At 58.1% G+C, this 17,240-nt stretch overlaps 2 protein-coding genes across 11 annotated transcripts in view, besides 3 other annotated features; both read right to left on the bottom strand.

Moving 5' to 3' along the window:
- Positions 1 to 433: 433 nt before the first annotated feature.
- Positions 434 to 13,412, bottom strand: ARRDC2 (arrestin domain containing 2). 3 transcript variants are annotated; one of them, NM_001025604.3, is made up of 8 exons: positions 12,963 to 13,412; positions 5,759 to 5,825; positions 5,418 to 5,565; positions 4,842 to 4,944; positions 4,497 to 4,753; positions 4,178 to 4,340; positions 3,807 to 3,964; positions 434 to 1,623 (listed from the first exon to the last, which is right to left on the bottom strand). In NM_001025604.3, the coding sequence occupies exons 1-8, from the start codon at positions 13,219 to 13,221 to the stop codon at positions 1,570 to 1,572; spliced, it is 1,209 nt and encodes a 402-aa protein (NP_001020775.1). In that variant the 5' UTR covers positions 13,222 to 13,412; the 3' UTR covers positions 434 to 1,569. The 3 variants fall into 3 exon arrangements, with proteins under 3 accessions (NP_001020775.1, NP_056498.1, NP_001273755.1); NM_015683.2 differs by lacking the exon at positions 12,963 to 13,412 and adding an exon at positions 5,952 to 6,366; NM_001286826.2 differs by lacking the exon at positions 12,963 to 13,412 and adding an exon at positions 5,952 to 6,366 and having other exon boundaries at positions 434 to 1,620.
- Positions 773 to 1,273: an enhancer, noted in NCBI's record as "H3K4me1 hESC enhancer chr19:18124072-18124572 (GRCh37/hg19 assembly coordinates)". NCBI's record gives its function as "activates a minimal SCP1, AML or CMV promoter by ChIP-STARR-seq in primed H9 embryonic stem cells {active_cell/tissue: H9 hESC(primed)}" and the evidence as "EXISTENCE:reporter gene assay evidence [ECO:0000049][PMID:30033119]".
- Positions 6,093 to 6,312: an enhancer, noted in NCBI's record as "active region_14293". NCBI's record gives its function as "activates an Ori minimal core promoter by ATAC-STARR-seq in GM12878 lymphoblastoid cells {active_cell/tissue: GM12878}" and the evidence as "EXISTENCE:reporter gene assay evidence [ECO:0000049][PMID:35858748]".
- Positions 13,069 to 13,508: a silencer, noted in NCBI's record as "silent region_10367". NCBI's record gives its function as "represses an Ori minimal core promoter by ATAC-STARR-seq in GM12878 lymphoblastoid cells {active_cell/tissue: GM12878}" and the evidence as "EXISTENCE:reporter gene assay evidence [ECO:0000049][PMID:35858748]".
- KCNN1 (potassium calcium-activated channel subfamily N member 1) overlaps positions 14,451 to 17,240 on the bottom strand; it is a 48,796-nt gene continuing 46,006 nt past the window's right edge. For all 8 annotated transcript variants that reach the window (NR_170373.1, NR_170374.1, NM_002248.5 and 5 more), the window contains one exon: positions 14,451 to 16,384. Coding sequence is in view for 6 of the 8 variants with exons in the window: in NM_002248.5 (NP_002239.2) it covers positions 16,130 to 16,384 (255 nt within the window). In the remaining 2 variants the exon portion in view is untranslated. The remainder of the gene's footprint in view (positions 16,385 to 17,240) is intronic.

Genomic DNA, 17,240 nt, shown 5'->3' with positions numbered 1-17,240 from the left:
CTGAGCGACACAGCAAGACTCCTTCTGAAAAACAAAAACAAACAGAAAAAAACCCACAAAAACCAAACCTAGACTCAGATGACAGGATGTTCCCGTACTCAGGCGGCTCCTCCCAGCCCCAGCCCCCTGCTCCCCACTCTCTGAGGATAGAGTTCTCTGCTTGTCCTCCACTGTTCAGCCCCCGCCAGCCTCTGAGACTCCGATAGGCGGTGCAGGTATGGGGCCCAGGGCTCAGCTCCCACCCCAGCTCAGCCTCCTCATATGTCCTTGGACCAACCCCCTCCCAGTCCTGGGCCTCAGTTTCCCCTTCTCAATCATGAGCCCCTTTGCCTTCCTTGGCCAGGAATTTAGTCTCCAAGATAGTGACCAGGGATGGCAGTCCCAGTTCCCTCAGCAGCCAGATCGGGGGCGGAAATAAACCAAGAAGCCCGGATTCTTTCTCCACACGTTTACTTTTAAAAAATAATTGTACAAAACAGAATGAATTCTTAAGGCATATCAGAAATGCTGAGTCCCAGGCCGGGGCCCTGCCCCAGCCAGGGCTGGGACTCTGCAGTTGGGAGCTTGTCCAGCTGCCCCCTCTAATGCTTTTCTCCTCCAGGACACAGGGAGCCTCCGGAAGCACAGTAGTCCCCGTGTGTCACCTTAGGCTGACCTCTGTCCCCAGGGGTGACGTAATGCTGTCACTGTCTTGAATTCTTCATCGTTTAACAGGGAGCCCAGTGTTTTCACTTTGCACATTGGGTATCTGGTCTTGCCTGTCCTACCCTGAACCTGGGTTCCCTGGGCCATGTAACACCCAGGCAGCTCTGATGCCCCTGGGTACTTGGAGGAGCTCCCAGGAAGTCCAAGCCTGCGCCAGGAATCTCTGGCTTTCAAAGTCTTCAAAGGCTGGAGCGGCTGCCCCTGCCACCCACAGACTCCACATAGCTCTGACAACCTGCTTTCCTGAACGCCTCGTTCCTGGGTCCTTTCACCCACCAGACCTCACTGTGTGGCCTCAACTCTGAGGCACCTGCCCTCTGAACCCCCAGTTCTACAATAAACGGGGTGGATTCCAAACGTCACTCAGCTCTGACCTTCTCTGACCTTTATTCCTCATTCGTCTGCCTGCTGAGCTCCTATTCGTACTCCAAAGCCTCAGCTAAAATGCCCTTTCCGCAAGGACGCCTTCTCTGCTTCCTGTCTGGACTCTCACAGTTGCAGGTCTCTTCTTCTGGTTCTGTGATGCTGGAACTGTCTATGTCTGGCTCTGTTTCTCCCAGACTGAAGGCTCCTAGGGGATTCCAGCACCACCAATTGGCTGGGAAGACAGGTTATTAAACAGTCTCTCGGATACTGCACTGGGCATTCAATGCCTCACAAGGACAGCGGTCCAGGTAAGTCAGATTCCAGCCGGGCTCTTCCTCTGTCCCATGTGATATCCGAAAGGCCCCCGCCTCACTCTGAGACTTGGTTCCCCAACTTTGATGCAGTCGGGGAGGTCAGCCCTTGGTCCAGCCACTCCCCACAGTCATGGTGGCTGAAAGCTGGTGTGCAACCTTGTTCCTCGAGGGGTCCCTGTGCCGTTCAGCAAGTCATGCAGCGCGGCCTCATGTCCCCCAAGAGTGGGTTTGGATCCTCCTAAGAGAAATGTTCCCATTAAGCCTCAGAGAACACTGGAAACAGAAATTCAGAAATACCGCTCCCCATCTAGCCATCTCCCAACTCCCGCCCTTGACCAGGGATGAGGCCATCAGGAGGTGGTGTCTAGGGCAGACTGGGGTGCAAGGAGGGTTTTGGAGCTGAGTGTATACCGTCCCTTGGTATCCACAGGGGATTGGTTCCAGGAACCCCGTGGATACCAAAATCCACAGATGCTCAGGTCCCTGATATAAAATGGCATAATATTTGCGGATAATCTAAGCCCATCCTCCTGTGTACTTTATTTTTATTTCATTTTATTTTTCGAGACAGAGTCTCGCTTTGTCACCCAGGCTGGAATGCAGTGGCGCAATCTCGGCTCACTGCAACCTCTACCTCCTGGGTTCAAGCGATTCTCCTGCCTCAGCCTCGTGAGTAGCTGGGATCACAGGTGGATGCCACCACACCCAGCTAATTTTTGTATTTTTGGTAGAGACCTGGTTTCGCCATGTTGGCCAGGCTGGTCTCAAACTCCTGACCTCAAGTGATCTGCCCACCTCAGCCTCCCAAAGTGCTGGGATTACAGGCATGAGCCACTGCATCCAGCCCTCCCGTGTACTTTAAATCTCTTCTAGATTACCTATAATACTTTATGGCCAGGTGTGGTGGCTCACGCCTGTAATCCCAGCATTCTGGGAGGTCAAGGCAGGCAGATCACCTGAGGTCAGGAATTCTAGACCAGCCTGGCCAACATGGCAAAACCCCGTCTCTACTAAAAAATACAAAAATTAGCTGGGCATGGTGGTGGATGCCTGTAATCCCAGCTACTCGGGAGGCTAAGACAGGGAGAATTGCTTGAACCCGGGAGGTGGAGATTGCAGTGAGCCGAGATTGTGCCACTTCACTCCAGCCTAGGTGACACAGCAAGACTCCATCTCAAAAAAAAAAAAAAAAAAAAAATATATATATATATATATACACATATACACACACAAAATATAAATGCTATTTAATCACTGTTATACTGCATTATTACTATTAGTAGTAGTATTGAGATGAGGTCTTGTTTTGTCTCCCAGACTGGAGTATGTAGTAGCACAATCATTGCTCACTGCAGCCTCAAACTCCTGGGCTCAAGCGATCCTCCTGCCTCAGCCTCCCAATCATAGATGGGCTCCACCAAGCCTGGGTAATTTTGTATTATTTGCAGTAGAGATGGGGGTCTTGCTATGTTACCCAGGTTGGTCTTATACTTCTGGCCTCAAGCAGTCCTCCCATCTTGGCCTCTCAAAGTGCTGGGATTACAGGCATGAGCCACCGCACCCAGCCTATCATATTTTTAATCTGTATTATCCATGTATGTATTTATTTTTCAAATGTCTCTGACCCATGTTTGGTTGAATCTGCAGATTCCAAACCAGCTAACGCAGAGGGCCGACTGTATGTAGCGAAATTCTGTCAACAATTAAAATCCTCTGCCAGCCGGGCACAGTGGCTGACGCCTGTAATCCCAGCACTTTGGGGAGGCCAAGATGGGAGGATCATTTGAGCCCAGGAGTTCAAGACCAGCCTGGGCAACACAGTGAGACCACATTTCTACAAAAAATACAAAAATTGGCCGGGCGTGGTAGCTCACGCATATAATCCCAGCACTTTGGGATGCCGAGGCAGGCCATCACCTGAGGTCAGGAGTTCAAGACCAGCCTGACCAACATGGTGAAACCCCGTCTCTACTAAAAATACAAAAATTAGCCACGTGTGGTGGCTAACACCTGTAATCCCAGCTACTCGGAAGGCTGAGGCAGGAGAATCGCTCTACCAGGGATGCGGAAGTTGAAGTGAGCTGAGATCGCACCATTGCACTCCAGCCTGGGTGACAAGACTGAAACTCCATCTCAAAAAGCAAAGCAAAACAAAACAAAACACAAAAATTAGCAGGATGTGGTGGCGTGTGCCTGTAGTCCCAGCTACTCAAGAGGCTGAGGCGAAAGGATTGCTTGAGCCCGGGAGGTCGAGGCTGCAGTGAGCTATGATTATGCCACTGCACTCCAGCCTGGGTGACAGAGCAAGACCCTGTCTAAAAAAACAAAAAAACAAAAAAAACCCATCTACTATGTCTGCCACCCCATCAAGGCTCCCAGGGCCCAGAGAGGCATGGGTGGTTCTCAGACCCCTGAGCTCACCTCAGAGTACAGGGGTGGCGGGCGGTAGCGGAACTCTTGGATGTAGGCGAAGAACGGGCCTTCAAGGCTCATGTCGGGGTCCTGCGGAAGCGGGAAGGGGCTCTGCCCCAAGGCTGCCTCCTCAGTGTCGGCTACCACCTCCGAGTACTCAGGAGGAGCTGGAAGCGAGAGACAGGGTGGGTGAGGTTGGCAGGAGAGAGCCCTGCTCCAAGGGACCAGGGGCCAGGAGCTGGCTTGTGCCAGCTCTGGGGCTGCCAGGCTGTATGTCCTTTGGTTGGGATTCCGGGGGACTCGTGGTGAGAGAGTTGACCCGGCATCCACCTCTCCGTGTATCCACCCACCCTCTGCATGCAAGCAGGGTGGGAGCTTACCCTCAGGCCGCTCCGGCAAGGCCCCCAGCCTCCAGTCCAGCAGGAAGCTGGCGTGGCTGCCCACGCTGGAGGAACGGCTGCCAAAAGGGTGCAAGGGAATGGTGCCGATCACCAGTGGCAGCTCCAGCAGCAGCTTGGACGTTCCTGGGATATCCACACAGACCTGGAGGAAGGAACCATAAGGGAGGGTGCCCAGGCAGCCTCCCCAACCCCCACCTCCCTCCTATGCCTGGGGAGACTGAGGCCTCAGCTTCCCCCAGTCTGAGGGAATACAGGGTGAATGTAGGCACTGTCCCCCAGGGCCAGCAGGATGCCCTACCTTGAGTGCGTAGTCCACGTGTAGAACGCGGCAGTGCAGGATGGAAGGACCCACTGGGGGGATCCGCAGTGCCCGGCCCTGCCACAGCGCCCGCTGCCCGGGGCCCACCGGCTCGCCCGCGAGGCTGGCCACCACTGCCCGTTTCTGCTTTCGGGCGCCTCGGGCCATGAACGTCTGTGTCTGCACCACGGCTGCCCGAGGCAGCACAGGACGTGTGGAGCCGTTGTCGATCTCGGCAAAGACAGGGATGACCTCTCCTGCAGCAAGGAGCAGTGGGGCCTCAGTTTCCCCTCCTGCAACCCCAACACCAGCCCCCGTCCCAACCCAGTCCGGTCCGCCTGCTACCTGGGGTGTAGCCCTTGCGGTCGATCTTGGCCGAAAGGGAGACTAGGCCACGGTTACAGTACCAGGATCGGGCAACCTTTTCCCGAGCCCCCGCTTGAGGTGCCTGTCGGTGTAGAGGAAAGTGACATGGATGAGTCACTTTGTGCAAACCACAGTCGCTGTGGAGCTTCCAAACCACCCCCAGCTGAGGGAGGACTTTGGGCAGGGCTTGGTTTCTTTTTAACAATCCAGGAACTATCCGTTAAATAGAGCCAGGAACACAACCCATCTTATAAAGCCAGAAATGAAATGTATAAGCCAAGTGTTTGGTGTGTAATTCACACTTGGTAAGCCCTAGCTCTGGTCTATTTCACAGAAGAGGCATCTGAGGCTCAGAGAGGGCTTCAAGACACTTGCCCAGAGTCACACGGCAAATGGGTGCAGATCCCAGTGGATTCCACACGCATTCCCACACCTGCCTCCCTCCCTGCCAGGGCCCACCTATGACCTCCATCTTATTGGTTGGTGTCGCCCAGCAGCCAGGCAGGCCCCTTCCTACAATACTCCCAACCTACCTCCCCAAGGGTGGCCACTCACCAGCAGGGCTGGCGTGTTGATGTCCACAGGCTCGATGACAGTGAACACCTTCCTTGCCCGGCGTGCTGGGACCCAGGGCCGGTGCAGGGTGGCCTTGATACAGTAGCGGACACTACCGTGTTTGCCCTCGAAGGATGTCACCAGGGTCCTAGGGTGGAGGGACGGGACTTCAGGGGACAAGATACAGAGACAAGCAGGCAGGGAGAAGGAGACACAGACACTCCGGGGGCCTCCCAGGGGGAGAGTCTTGGGGCTCAGAGGTGCCCAGATATCCAGTATTGGAGGTACCAATCTGGAAGGGGCTGCAGGCTTAGGGCAACCCTGCACCCCAGAGGACTTACGGGGGCAGCTGGAAGCTGAACAGGAACTCATGGCGCCCAGGAGGCAGCGTCGTGGTCTCCCCGGTATCTGCAGGTAGGAGAAAAAGGAGGCGACTGAGCGGTTGCGCTGGGGTCCCAGGGCTGACGGAGGTACCGCCGTCCAGGTGGTGGGAGGCACACAACTGGTGTTGGAGCAGGGGTCCTCCATCCGTACCTGGCGCCAGGAGCGTGGCGCGGTGGCTCACGACCTCCACGCGTTCACTGTAGCTCTGCGTGTAAGCCGTGCTCGAGCCCGCGCTGCGCGACTCGGTCCAGTGCACGTGGGCGCGGCCCCGCGCGCGCAGCCTCAGGGCACCCACACGCGCGGCGCTTGACAGCTCCAGCAGCACCCGGCCCGCCACGGCCTGGCCGCCGCTAAACACGGGCTCGACGCCCGCGGTCGCGCCGTCCAACTGCACCGAGAACGCTTTCACCTTGTCGAATAGCATCGCGTCCGGGGTGCGAACCCACGACAGGCGGAACCTGGCCTCGAACTCGCGAACCGGCAGCTCAAGATGCCGACGCTGCAGCCTCAGAACGCAAAATCGCCGTCAACGCGCAGGCGCGCTCACCAACCGGAGCAGAAAATCCCCGCGCCGTGCGTCGGCGCCGCTTTTATACGGCAGGGCGGGGGGGGGTGGGGTCACCGTCTCTTCCCCGCCCCGGGAAGGGACTCCACCAATAGCGCGACAAGGGGCGTGGCTCTGCCCAGGCGTGGAGCAAAATAACAAACGCCCCTGCTCACCGCCGGCTGCCCCCTTCCCTCGCGGACCCCGGGGAGAAACTGAAGCCCTTAGGCTGCCAGAGCTGGTCTCTCGCGGACCCCGGGGGTAAAGAGGAAAAAAAGAGGTGCAGAGGCAGGGCCCAGGCCTGAGGTCACCTAGCAGAGCCTTCAGCCTCTCGGCTTAATCACTCACCAGCCGCCCCTCGTTGACGTGACTCGAGGCATGTCCAGCCCGATTTGGGGCGGGGGACTCTCGCCCCAGTTGAGGGCCAGAGAGCCTATGACTGTTCCAGGCCTGTTTCCCCCGCTATGCAAAGGGAGAAGTGGAGGAGGTGGGTGGGACCGCCCTCCACACTGGTGCCTGCTGCACCCCTTTCCTGATTCAAGTCCCGCTTAGCTGGTGGCTCTGGGCAAATGACAACCTCTTGGAGCCTCAGTTTCCACCTCTGTAGAGCCGGGAGAAAGTAAAAATCAGTCCTGACCTCAGAAGGTTGTGCATGGATCATCGTGCAGCCCCAGCTGGACTCCTCCAAGAGCCTCGCTCCCGGGTCATCAACCTGCTCTTGACATACCGTCACTCGGTCGCGCCTCGGCGCATTCGCCCAGGAGCGGTACCTACGAAATGATGTTCCCTTCCCAATTTTCAGCCTCTGGCAAACCCTACCTTCCCCGCAGCCCTTGTGCCTGCTCCAGTCATCCTCAGCCCCCGTCCCGCCACAGAGCTGAATGCAGGGGACGCTCGGGCACCCCCAGGTCCACAGCTGCGGTGTGGCCACGGGACGGCGTGACCTCTCTCTGGGCTTCAGTTTCCCCAAAGAAAAGTCGCATGGAGTTTCTCCAGCGGGAGTTGCCTCTGCGTCGTCTGCGGGACGCTGGCGCCCTCTCGTGGCAGCGTAATGCGCTGCCGCTGAACCCATCCCCTGCCGTGACTGTCCGCCTCTGAGCCTGGCTCAGGAGACTTCCACCACCTCAGTGAGGTGTGTGGGTGGAGGGGGCGGTCATAAACAAACACGGTCACCCTCAGCCCGTGATGGGGATCGGAACAGGAACGACGGAGTTGGAGGCACAGTGATCAGCCTGGAAGGCTGCCTGGGAGGATGGGTCTTTGGAGTTGAAAGGAAGGTCTGGGACCTTAGGCCAGGTTTCAATGGATACTAGAGGGGAGACAGTAGGCCGTTAAGTCCGGGAGGAGAAGCGGGATTAGGTAACCCTGAAGGGACTACTGAGCCAGCGCCTCCCTCAATTCATTTCGCAGACGGACCCCAAAGGCCCAGAGATGGGTGGGGCTCTGCCCGAGGTCACACAGCACCTCCACTGGCCTCGCCCCTCCAGTGTCACTGTTTTTTCCTTAAATGTATAACAATTTAACAATTTTTAAGCTCCCTCTCCCTCTCCCTCTCCCCTTGGTCTCCCTCTCCCTCTCTTTCCACGGTCTCCCTCTCATGCCGAGCAGAAGCTGGACTGTGCTGCTGCCATCTCGGCTCACTGCAACCTCCCTGCCTGATTCTCCTGTCTCAGCCTGCCGAGTGCCTGCGATTGCAGGCGCGCGCCGCCACGCCTGACTGGTTTTTTTGGTGGAGAAGGGGTTTCGCTGTGTTGGCCCGGCTGGTCTCCAGCTCCTAACCTCGAGTGATCCACCAGCCTCAGCCTCCCGAGGTGCCGGGATTGCAGACAGAGTCTCGTTAACTCAGTGCTCAATGGTGCCCAGGCTGGAGTGCAGTGGCGTGATCTCGGCTCGCTACAACCTCCACCTCCCAGCCGCCTGCCTTGGCCTCCCAAAGTGCCGAGATTGCAGCCTCTGCCCGGCCGCCACCCCGTCTGGGAAGTGAGGAGCGTCTCTGCCTGACCGCCCATCGTCTGGGATGTGAGGAGCCCCTCTGCCTGGCTGCCCAGTCTGGAAAGTGAGGAGCGTCTCTGCCCGGCCGCCATCCCACCTAGGAAGTGAGGAGCGCCTCTTCCCGGCCGCCATCCCATCTACGAAGTGAGGAGCGTCTCTGCCCGGCCGCCCATCGTCTGAGATGTGGGGAGCGCCTCTGCCCCGCCGCCCCGTCTGGGATGTGAGGAGAGCCTCGGCCCGGCCGCGACCCCGTCTGGGAGGTGAGGAGCGTCTCTGCCCGGCCGCCCCGTCTGAGAAGTGAGGAGCCCCTCCGCCCGGCAGCCGCCCCGTCTGAGAAGTGAGGAGCCCCTCCGCCCGGCTGCCACCCCGTCTGGGAAGTGAGGAGCTTCTCCGCCCGGCAGCCACCCCGTCCAGGAGGGAGGTGGGGGGTCAGCCCCCGCCAAGCCAGTCGCCCCGTCTGGGAGGGAGGCGGGGGGTCAGCCCCCCACCCAGCCAGCCGCCCCATCCGGGAGGGAGGTGGGGGGGTCAGCCCCCTGCCCGGCCAGCCGCCCCGTCCGGGAGGGAGGTCGGGGGGTCAGCCCCCCACCCGGCCAGCCGCCCCGTCCGGGAGGTGAGGGGGCACCTCTGCCCGGCCGCCCCTACTGGGAAGTGAGGAGCCCCTCTGCCCGGCCACCACCCCGTCTGGGAGGTGTACCCAACAGCTCATTGAGAACGGGCCATGATGACAATGGCGGTTTTGTGGAATAGAAAGGGGGGAAAGGTGGGGAAAAGATTGAGAAATCGGATGGTTGCCGTGTCTGTGTAGAAAGAGGTAGACATGGGAGACTTTTCATTTTGTTCTGTACTAAGAAAAATTCTTCTGCTTTGTGATCCTGTTGATCGGTGACCCTACCCCCAACCCTGTGCTCTCTGAAACATGTGCTGTGTCCACTCAGGGTTAAATGGATTAAGGGTGGTGCAAGATGTGCTTTGTTAAACAGATGCTTGAAGGCAGCATGCTCGTTAAGAGTCATCACCACTCCCTAATCTCAAGTACCCAGGGACACAAACACTCTGCCTAGGAAAACCAGAGACCTTTGTTCACCTGTTTATCTGCTGACCTTCCCTCCACTATTGTCCTATGACCCTGCCAAATCCCCCTCTGCAAGAAACACCCAAGAATGATCAATTAAAAAAAAAAAATTTTTTTTAAATTTGCTTTTCTTTTTTTTTTTGAGACAGGATCTCACTCTGTTGCCCAGGCTGGAGTGCAGTGGCGCGATCTAGGTTCACTGCAACCTCTGCCTCCCTTCCACCTCAGCCTCCCGAGTAGCCGGGATTACAGGTGTGTACCACCATGCCCCGCTAATTTTTGTATTTTTTGTAAAGATGGGGTTTCACCATGTTGCCCAGGCTGGTCTTGAACTCTTGAGCTCAAGCGATCTGCCCGCCTCAGCCTCCCAAAGTGCTGGGATTACAGGTGTGAGCCACTGCACCCAGCCAAAATTTTAATTTTTTTTTTTTTTGAGACAGGGTCTCACTCTGCTCTGACACCCAGGCTGTAGTGCAGTGGCACCATCTTGGCTCACTGCAACCTCCACCTTCCGGGTTCCAGCGATTCTCCTGCCTTAGCCCCCTGAGTAGCTGGGAGAATTTAAAAATTAGCCCACCTTGGCCGGGCGCGGTGGCTCACGCCTGTAATCCCAGCACTTTGGGAGGCCGAGGCAGGCGGATCACCTGAGGTCAGGAGTTCGAGACCAGCCTGACCAACATGGAGACACCCCGTCTCTACTAAAGATACAAAATTTACCGGGTGTGGTGGCGCATGCCTGTAATCCCAGCTACTTGGGAGGCTGAGGCAGGAGAAACACTTGAACCTGGGAGGTGGAGGTTGCAGTGAGGCGAGATCATGCCATTGCACTCCAGCCTGGGCAACAAGAGTGAAATTCCGCCTAAAAAAAAAAAAAAAAAAAAGTTAGCCCGGCTAATTTTTGTATTTTTAGTAGAGACAGGGCTTCACCATGTTGGCCAGGCTGGTCTTGAACTCCTGACCTCAAGTGATCCTCCTGCCTCAGCCTCCCAAAGTACTGGGATTACAGGCATAAGCCACTGCGCCCAGCCAATTTTTATGTATTTAAAGAGATGGGGGCCGGGCATGGTGGCTCATGCCTGTAAGCCAAGCATTTTGGAAGGCCGAGGTGGATGGATCACCTGAGGTCAGGATTTCGTGACCAGCCTGGCCAACATGGTGAAACCCGTCTCTACTAAAAATACAAAAATTGGCCGGGCACTGTGGCTCATGCCTGTAATCCCAGCACTTTGGGAGGCCGAGGCGGGCAGATCACGAGGTCAGGAGATCGAGACCATTCTGGCTAACATGGTGAAACCCCGTCTCTACTAAAAATACAAAAAATTAGCCGGGCGTGGTGGCGGGTGCCTGTAGTCCCAGCTGCTCGGGAGGCTGAGGCAGGAGAATGGCGTGAACCCGGGAGGCAGAGCTTGCAGTGAGCCGAGATGGTGCCACTGCACTCCAGCCTGGGCAGCAGAGGGAGACTCCGTCCCCCAAACAAACAAACAAACAAACAAACAAAAATTAGCCAGCGTGTTGGCGGGCACCTATAATCCCAGCTACTCGGGAGGCTGAGGCAGGAGAATCACTGGAACCTGGGAGGCAGAGGTTGCAGTGAGCCAAGATTGCGCCGGCGCCACTGCACTCCAGCCTGGGTGACAGAGTGAGACTCTGTCTCAGAAAAACAAAACAAAACAAAACAAAACAAAACAAAAAGTTAGCCGGGTGTGGTGGCGGGCACCTGTAGTCCCAGCTACTCAGGAGTCTGAGGTTGCAGAATCACTTGAACATGGGAGGCAGAGGTTGCAGTGAGCCGAGATCGTGCCACTGCACTCCAGCCTGAGTAACAGAGTAAGACCCTGTCTCAAAAACAAAAACAAACACAAAAACGGAGTGGAGGGTGGGAGGTCTCATTATGTTGCCCAGGCTGGCCTCTAACTTAGCTCAAGCAATCCTTCCGCTTCAGCCTCTGTGATAGCTGGGACCACAGGTGGACCCACCAGGCTCGCCTCTCCAGTGTTTTTTGTTTATTTGTTTTTGTTTTTGTTTTTGAGACGGAGTTTCGCTCTGTTGCCCAGGCTGGAGTGTAGTGGTGCCATCTCAGCTCACTGCAATCTCCGCCTGCCGGGTTCAAGCAATTCTGCCTCAGCCTCCCGAGTTGCTGGGATTTCAGGCGCCCACCAGCACGCCCAGCTAATTTTTGTATTTTTAGTGGAGACAAAGTTTCACCATGTTGGCCAGGCTGGTCTCGAACTCCTGACCTCAGGTGATCTGCCCGCCTCAGCCTCCCAAAGTGCTGGGATTACAGGCGTGAGCCACCGCACCCGGCTGCCTCTCCAGTGTTTTAAGGAAGTCGCCGTTGAGTGTCTGGGCCGGCCTTCGGGTGAAAGCGGTCCCAAGAGTTCTCCGAGTCGCCGGGGAAGGGAAGTGCCTCCTGGGCCCCTTCCTGCCCTGCCCCACCGCACTTGCTTCTGTTTCCACCGCTGGGGAGGGAAGGGTCCCCCGCACCTGTGGCTCTTGTGTGCCCAAAACTTCTATTGCCCGCAGCGCTGGGAAAAAAGTGGGGCTGTCGAGAATCTGAGCTGCCTCCCTCCCGGCCCATTTTACAGACGGGTATAGTGAGGTCTGGCTTGGCCCGGAGGAATAGCCAGGGCGGCCCAGAGAGGATGATGCCCTCCCGCAGCCACACAGTAGGGTGTGAGGGTATGGACTGCCTCCTTCTGTGACCCCTGGCTCGCTGGTGACCAGCTGCGTGGCCTAGGGGCGCTTGGGGTGCGAGAAGGACTGAGGTTCGGGGAAGAGTAGGGACCTGCCCAAGACCCAGACTCCCAGGAGAATGTGACCCCACTTCATCTCTTCCCCTCTGGGATGCATTTCCACCTCCTCACCGGGAAATACCACCAGACCCCCAACCCTACCCCAGGGAAGAACTCAGCGCTGCAGACCCTGTGGGGTAAACTGAGGTGGGGCCCTGGGTAACACGAGTTGGGGGCCTTCTCTGAGAATCAGGGACTCCAGGCCTGGGATCAACGGGGACACTGGGGTCCACCAGGGAGATCTCCCACTCTACTTCCCGCGGGTTTCCTGGACTCTAATAGGAGGGTCCCCCTGCTTTGAAAGGGGTCTCCCCACCGCACAGTCTAAGTTGAGGGAGTCTGGCTCCAGAGAAGGGAACACCCAGACCCTGGGTAGACGTTCCCGGTTAGTGGGGGTCCTGACCAGGGCGGGGTGGGTGTCCAGGCTGGAGTGCAGTGGTGCGATCTCAGCCCATTACAACCTCTACCTCCCAGGCTCAAGCGATCTTCCCACTTCAGCCTGTAGCTGGGACTCCAGGCGCGCGCCACTAAGCCTGGCTAATTTTTGTAGTTTTTGGAGACATGGGGTTTCACCATGTCGCCCAGGCTAGTCTTGAACTCCTGACCTGTGGGAGGGTCAGGACCCCGGGAAGGGGGTTTCCCCCTCCTTGAAAAGGATCACCCGACCGCATAGGTTCTAAGTTGAGAGGCTTCCGGCCCTGAAGAGGGTCGCGGCCGAGGGGGTCCCGGCTGCTGCGGGGGCGGCGCGACGAGTGTCTCACCTCGGAGCAGCAGCTGCCGACGCCGCAGGTAGGTCTCCGCGGCCGCGTAGTCGCTGGATACGGCGTTGACGCCCACGCTGCGACCCTCCAACCAGTGGGTGGCCGCCCCGCCGCGCGCCTTCACCTCGAGCGCTCGCACCCGCAGCGGCGCCGCCGCCTCCAGCAGCACCCGGCCGCACAGCCGCTCCCCGCCGCGGTAGGCGCCGCCCGGGCCCCGCGCCAGCTCCAGCGCGAAGCTGCGCACGCCCCCAGAGCGCATGGCGCGCGGCTGGGGACACGGTTTGGACACGCGGAGAGAAGGCACACGGCCCGGGCGCGCCTGCAGATCCCCGGGGTTTCCGCGTTCCCCCGTCGCGTCCCCCAAGCTTCCTCCGGGCCCCCCCGGCGAACTTGGGCCGGCGCCGGTGGCCCAGGGCGGGCGCGTCGTCGGCGAACTTCCTGGTCCTCTGCATCCGCCCCCGTGACGCACGCGGGCCGCCGGGGACTGGCCGCCCGCGTGCCCGCACTGTTGACTTTGCCATCCTCGGAGATGGGCGGGCCCTGTTTTTGTAGGGTCGGCGCTGTTGAATCAGAAGCAGGCAGGGGCGGAGGTGGCTGGGGAGGCACCGAGGCGGCCGCAGATCTCAGCCCTATGGTCTCATTCGCCCCTCACTACCCCTGCCCCCCCCGCCGCCCAGAACCCGGCACCGCCTCAGTCTCCCCGTCATTGTCACTTCATGGCTGTCCCTCAAACAAAATCCACCTCGAGTAGCTCTCTTCGCCTCCGCACTGGGCCGTTCCGCTACCAGATCCGTTCTCCCACCCATCCCGCCCACGCCCAAATGCCACTTCCTCAGAGTCCCCTTGCCACCTCTGGCCTTGTTTACTTTTCTCTGTTTTTTCTTTCTTTCCTTCCTTCCTTCCTTCCCTCCTTCCTCTCTTTCTTTTTTTCTCTTTCTTTCTTGCCTTGTTTACTTTTCTCTTTCTCTCTCTCTTTTTTTAAGACAGAGTCTCGCTCTGTCGCCCAGGCCGGGGCACAGTAGCGTGATCCTGGCTCACTGCAATCTCCACCTCCCTGGTTCTAGCAATTCTCCTGCCTCAGTCTCCTGAGTACCTGGGACGACAGGAGTCGTCCACGCCCAGCTAATTTTTGTATTTTTAGTAGAGATAGGGTTTCACCATGTTGGCCGGCTGGTCTCCAACTCCTGACCTCAGGTGATCCTCCCACCTCAGCCTCCCGAAGTACTGGGATTACAGGCGTGAGCCACCACGCCCGGCCTGTTCATAACTTTATGGCTTTGGTGTTTTTTTTTTTTTTTTTTTAAGTACTATGGGTTTACTGTGCCTCTGCCATCAGACCTGGGAGCTACCACTGGCACAGAAGGTACACCCACGGATGTTCCTTAACCAAACCCTGGGTTCTCACCCTGAAGGACAGCCCCTTTCCTTCTCAGGCCTTAGTTTCCCCAGCCAGACAACAGGGTAGAAAGGATGAGTCCTGCCAAAGACTCCAGTGTGATCCCTCAGGCGGGAAGGAGCATTTATTGAGCACCTACCAGTTGCCTGGCCCTTTTTAGGGAGTTCTGGTTAAATAGACTGTCACCCCATTTTACAGATGAAACAACCAAGGCCCCAGAGGGGCAGCCACTGCTCAGAGTCACCCAGCAGTGGCAGAGTCAGGACTCGAACCCGGGTCTGACCAGCACCTCCTCATACCCTTCTCGTGCGTGGGCCCAAGCTGGTCATTCATGCACCAGCCACGGCCTAGTTATCTCGTTGAGCCAGGCGATGGATGGCCTTATCAGAGGCTGCCAGGACCTGGGGCTCCTCGGCTATGCACAGCGTCGTCTCCCCAGGAGCCAGGCCTCCTCGCCCCACCCAGGGCTCAGCATCTGCCAAGTAAATGCCTGTTGCTCCCAGCACCCAAGCCCATGGCCTCCAGGGACCTTTCTGATTCTACTTGTGTCTGGAACCCTCCCCTGTAGCCCACCCCTGAAGGGTCTCTCTGACCCCTGGATGTCACCAAATAACCCCTCCTCCTGACGTCCCCATGGCTCCTCCATGGAGTCCCTTCCACCAAGTCCAGGTTTTTTCTCACTGCAACCTCCACCTCCTGGGTTCAAGCGATTATCCTGCCTCAGCCTCCCAAGTAGCTGGGATTACAGGCGTGCACCACCACACCCAGCTAATTTTTATATTTTTAGTAGAGACAGGGTTTCACCATGTTGCCCAGGCTGGTCTTGAACTCCTGACCTCAGGTGATCCGCCCGCTTTACCCTCCCAAAGTGCTGGGATTACAGGTGTGAGCCACTGTGCCCAGCCAGTCCGGTTCTTTACTTTGGCCTAGGGGATTTCCAGTTTGAATGCACCATCCTTCCTCGCAGTGTGGTCCCAGGTAGGTAGATTCACCTCTCTGGGCCTCAGTTTCCCCCCCATCCCACCATGGTCAAGTTCTGATGAGGAATCAGTGTGGTAATTGACATCATCACATTCTCTGTAGACAGCAGGTGCTCAATACAAATCTCACAAAAACCCAAATGACCTTCCTCACCCAGGTCACCTCCCCCATGGGCCCCGCTGGGGCCTGGCACACAGTGGGTGTCCATCAACGCGGTTGGTTGAAGGGGAGCGATGCTTCTGGCCAGGGCTGGGCCATGCTGTCTGAGGGATCTCAGCGCCAGGTGGGGCTGGTACAGGTGTCCCTAGAGAGTTGTCCCTCACTGAGCTCCAGCCCAGAGGGAGAGAGGGCTTCTAGGCTAGGATTCTAGGCTAGGCCGGTGATGGGAACAGGTTTTTCTGATTCCCACATTCATCTTGGTACCCAGGGCTGGAGGTCTACCTCCTGGGACATCACCAGTGCCTTCCAGCCATGCACACAGGCAGCCACTAGGCGGGTCCTGCTTTATTCAGAACCAGCACGGACCCCTCCCCGGGCTGCTCCATGCCCACCGGGGGCCTGGGGAGAGTCGGGGGACCAGGTGACCAGAGGAAGCTCCGGGCTCCCCTGCCCTCACCCATGGTCCAGCCCTGCCCTCTGCCTGGGCAGTCTGGGCGGGGCAGGCCTCAGTCCACTCAGCCTGACTCAGCGTTGGCTTCTTGAACTCCAAGAGGCGCCACTGTACAAGGCTTCCCGGAGGTGGCGGCCACACGATGGCCAAGATTTAGGGGTCTGGTGGCGGGCAGGGCCGTCACCCGCAGTCCGAGGGGGCCACGGGCGTCCACCGGCAGGGGGAGCTCCGGGCTGCCTGGTCTTGGGGGCCGGGGCCGGGCCTGGGAGGCAGGGGAGGCGGGGGTGGGCGTATGGCTTGGGCGATGAGGCCAGGCAGGGCCTGTAGAGAGGCACCCAGCGCATCCAAGCGGCTTTCCAGGGTGGCCAGGCGGGCCTCCAGCTCCTCGTGCTGAGCGTGCAGCTCCGATACAAGGTCGTACATGACGGTCTGGGTCTGCGGGAGACAGAGAGGGGCAGGAGAGAGGCGCCGCTGAGTGAGAGAGGAAAGGACGATACCACGACACCAATGACAGAGAGGGACAGCCCACACGCTCCAGGTGGGTGCCAGCCACTAATGGGGCCCGTGTGAGGGGTGGCTGGGAGGATACCCCCAGCCCCAGAGGTCCCTTGCTGGGCCCAGGGAAGGATTGGAGAGTGGATGAGGGGAGAGACTGGTCTTTTCTTTCTCTCTTTTTTTTTTTTTTCTTTGAGACAGAGACTCCCTCCGTCACCTATGCTGGAGTGCAGTGGCCCAATCTCGGCTCATTACAACCTCCTCTTTCCGGGAGGCGCCCAGCCTAAAAGACAGGTCTTAAATGCCAAGCTCAGCTGGTTGTGGTGGCTCACGCCTGTAATCCCAGCACTTTGGGAGGCCGAGGCAGGCGAATCGCCTGAGGTCAGGAGTTTGAGACCAGCCTGGCCAACATGGTGAAACTTTGTCTCCACTAAAAATACAAAAATTAGCCGGATGTGGTAGCGGGCACCTGTAATCCCCGCTACTCGGGGGGGATGAGGCAGGAGAATCACTTGAACCCAGGAGGTGGAGGTTTCAGTGCGCCTGAGTGACAAGAGGGAAAATCCGTCTCAAGAAAAAGAAAGCAAGCAAGCCAAGCTCAGGGCTGGCAGGCCTGGGAAAGGCCTAGTGAGGTTCTGGGGTGGGGGGACATGCCCAGAGCTGCCCTGGGGGTCTAGTGGCCACAGGGCACACATAGCCACAGGCAGTGCTCAAGTGGTACCCACAGACCTGGGGGATGTTTGGGGCTGACGTTGCTCCAGGCTGGGGAACAGCAGGAGCGTGGGGACATGGCTGC

The sequence above is a fragment of the Homo sapiens genome, chromosome 19 (assembly GCF_000001405.40).
Source record: "Homo sapiens chromosome 19, GRCh38.p14 Primary Assembly".
In the NCBI taxonomy this organism is placed as follows: domain Eukaryota; kingdom Metazoa; phylum Chordata; class Mammalia; order Primates; family Hominidae; genus Homo; species Homo sapiens.
Note: the sequence above shows the minus strand (reverse complement) of the source record. Positions and strands in the feature narration are given on the sequence as shown.

Bases quoted from the DNA above. Each gene is read 5' to 3' on its own strand.
- ARRDC2 (NM_015683.2), bottom strand. From the start codon at position 6,225: ATGCTATTCGACAAGGTGAAAGCGTTCTCGGTGCAGTTGGACGGCGCG. The intron at 5,566-5,758 runs GTAAGTCCTCTG...CCTCCACCCTAG, and splicing joins TTCAGCTTCCAGCTGCCCCC to GACCCTGGTGACATCCTTCG. The intron at 4,945-5,417 runs GTGAGTGGCCAC...CTACACCGACAG, and splicing joins TCAACACGCCAGCCCTGCTG to GCACCTCAAGCGGGGGCTCG.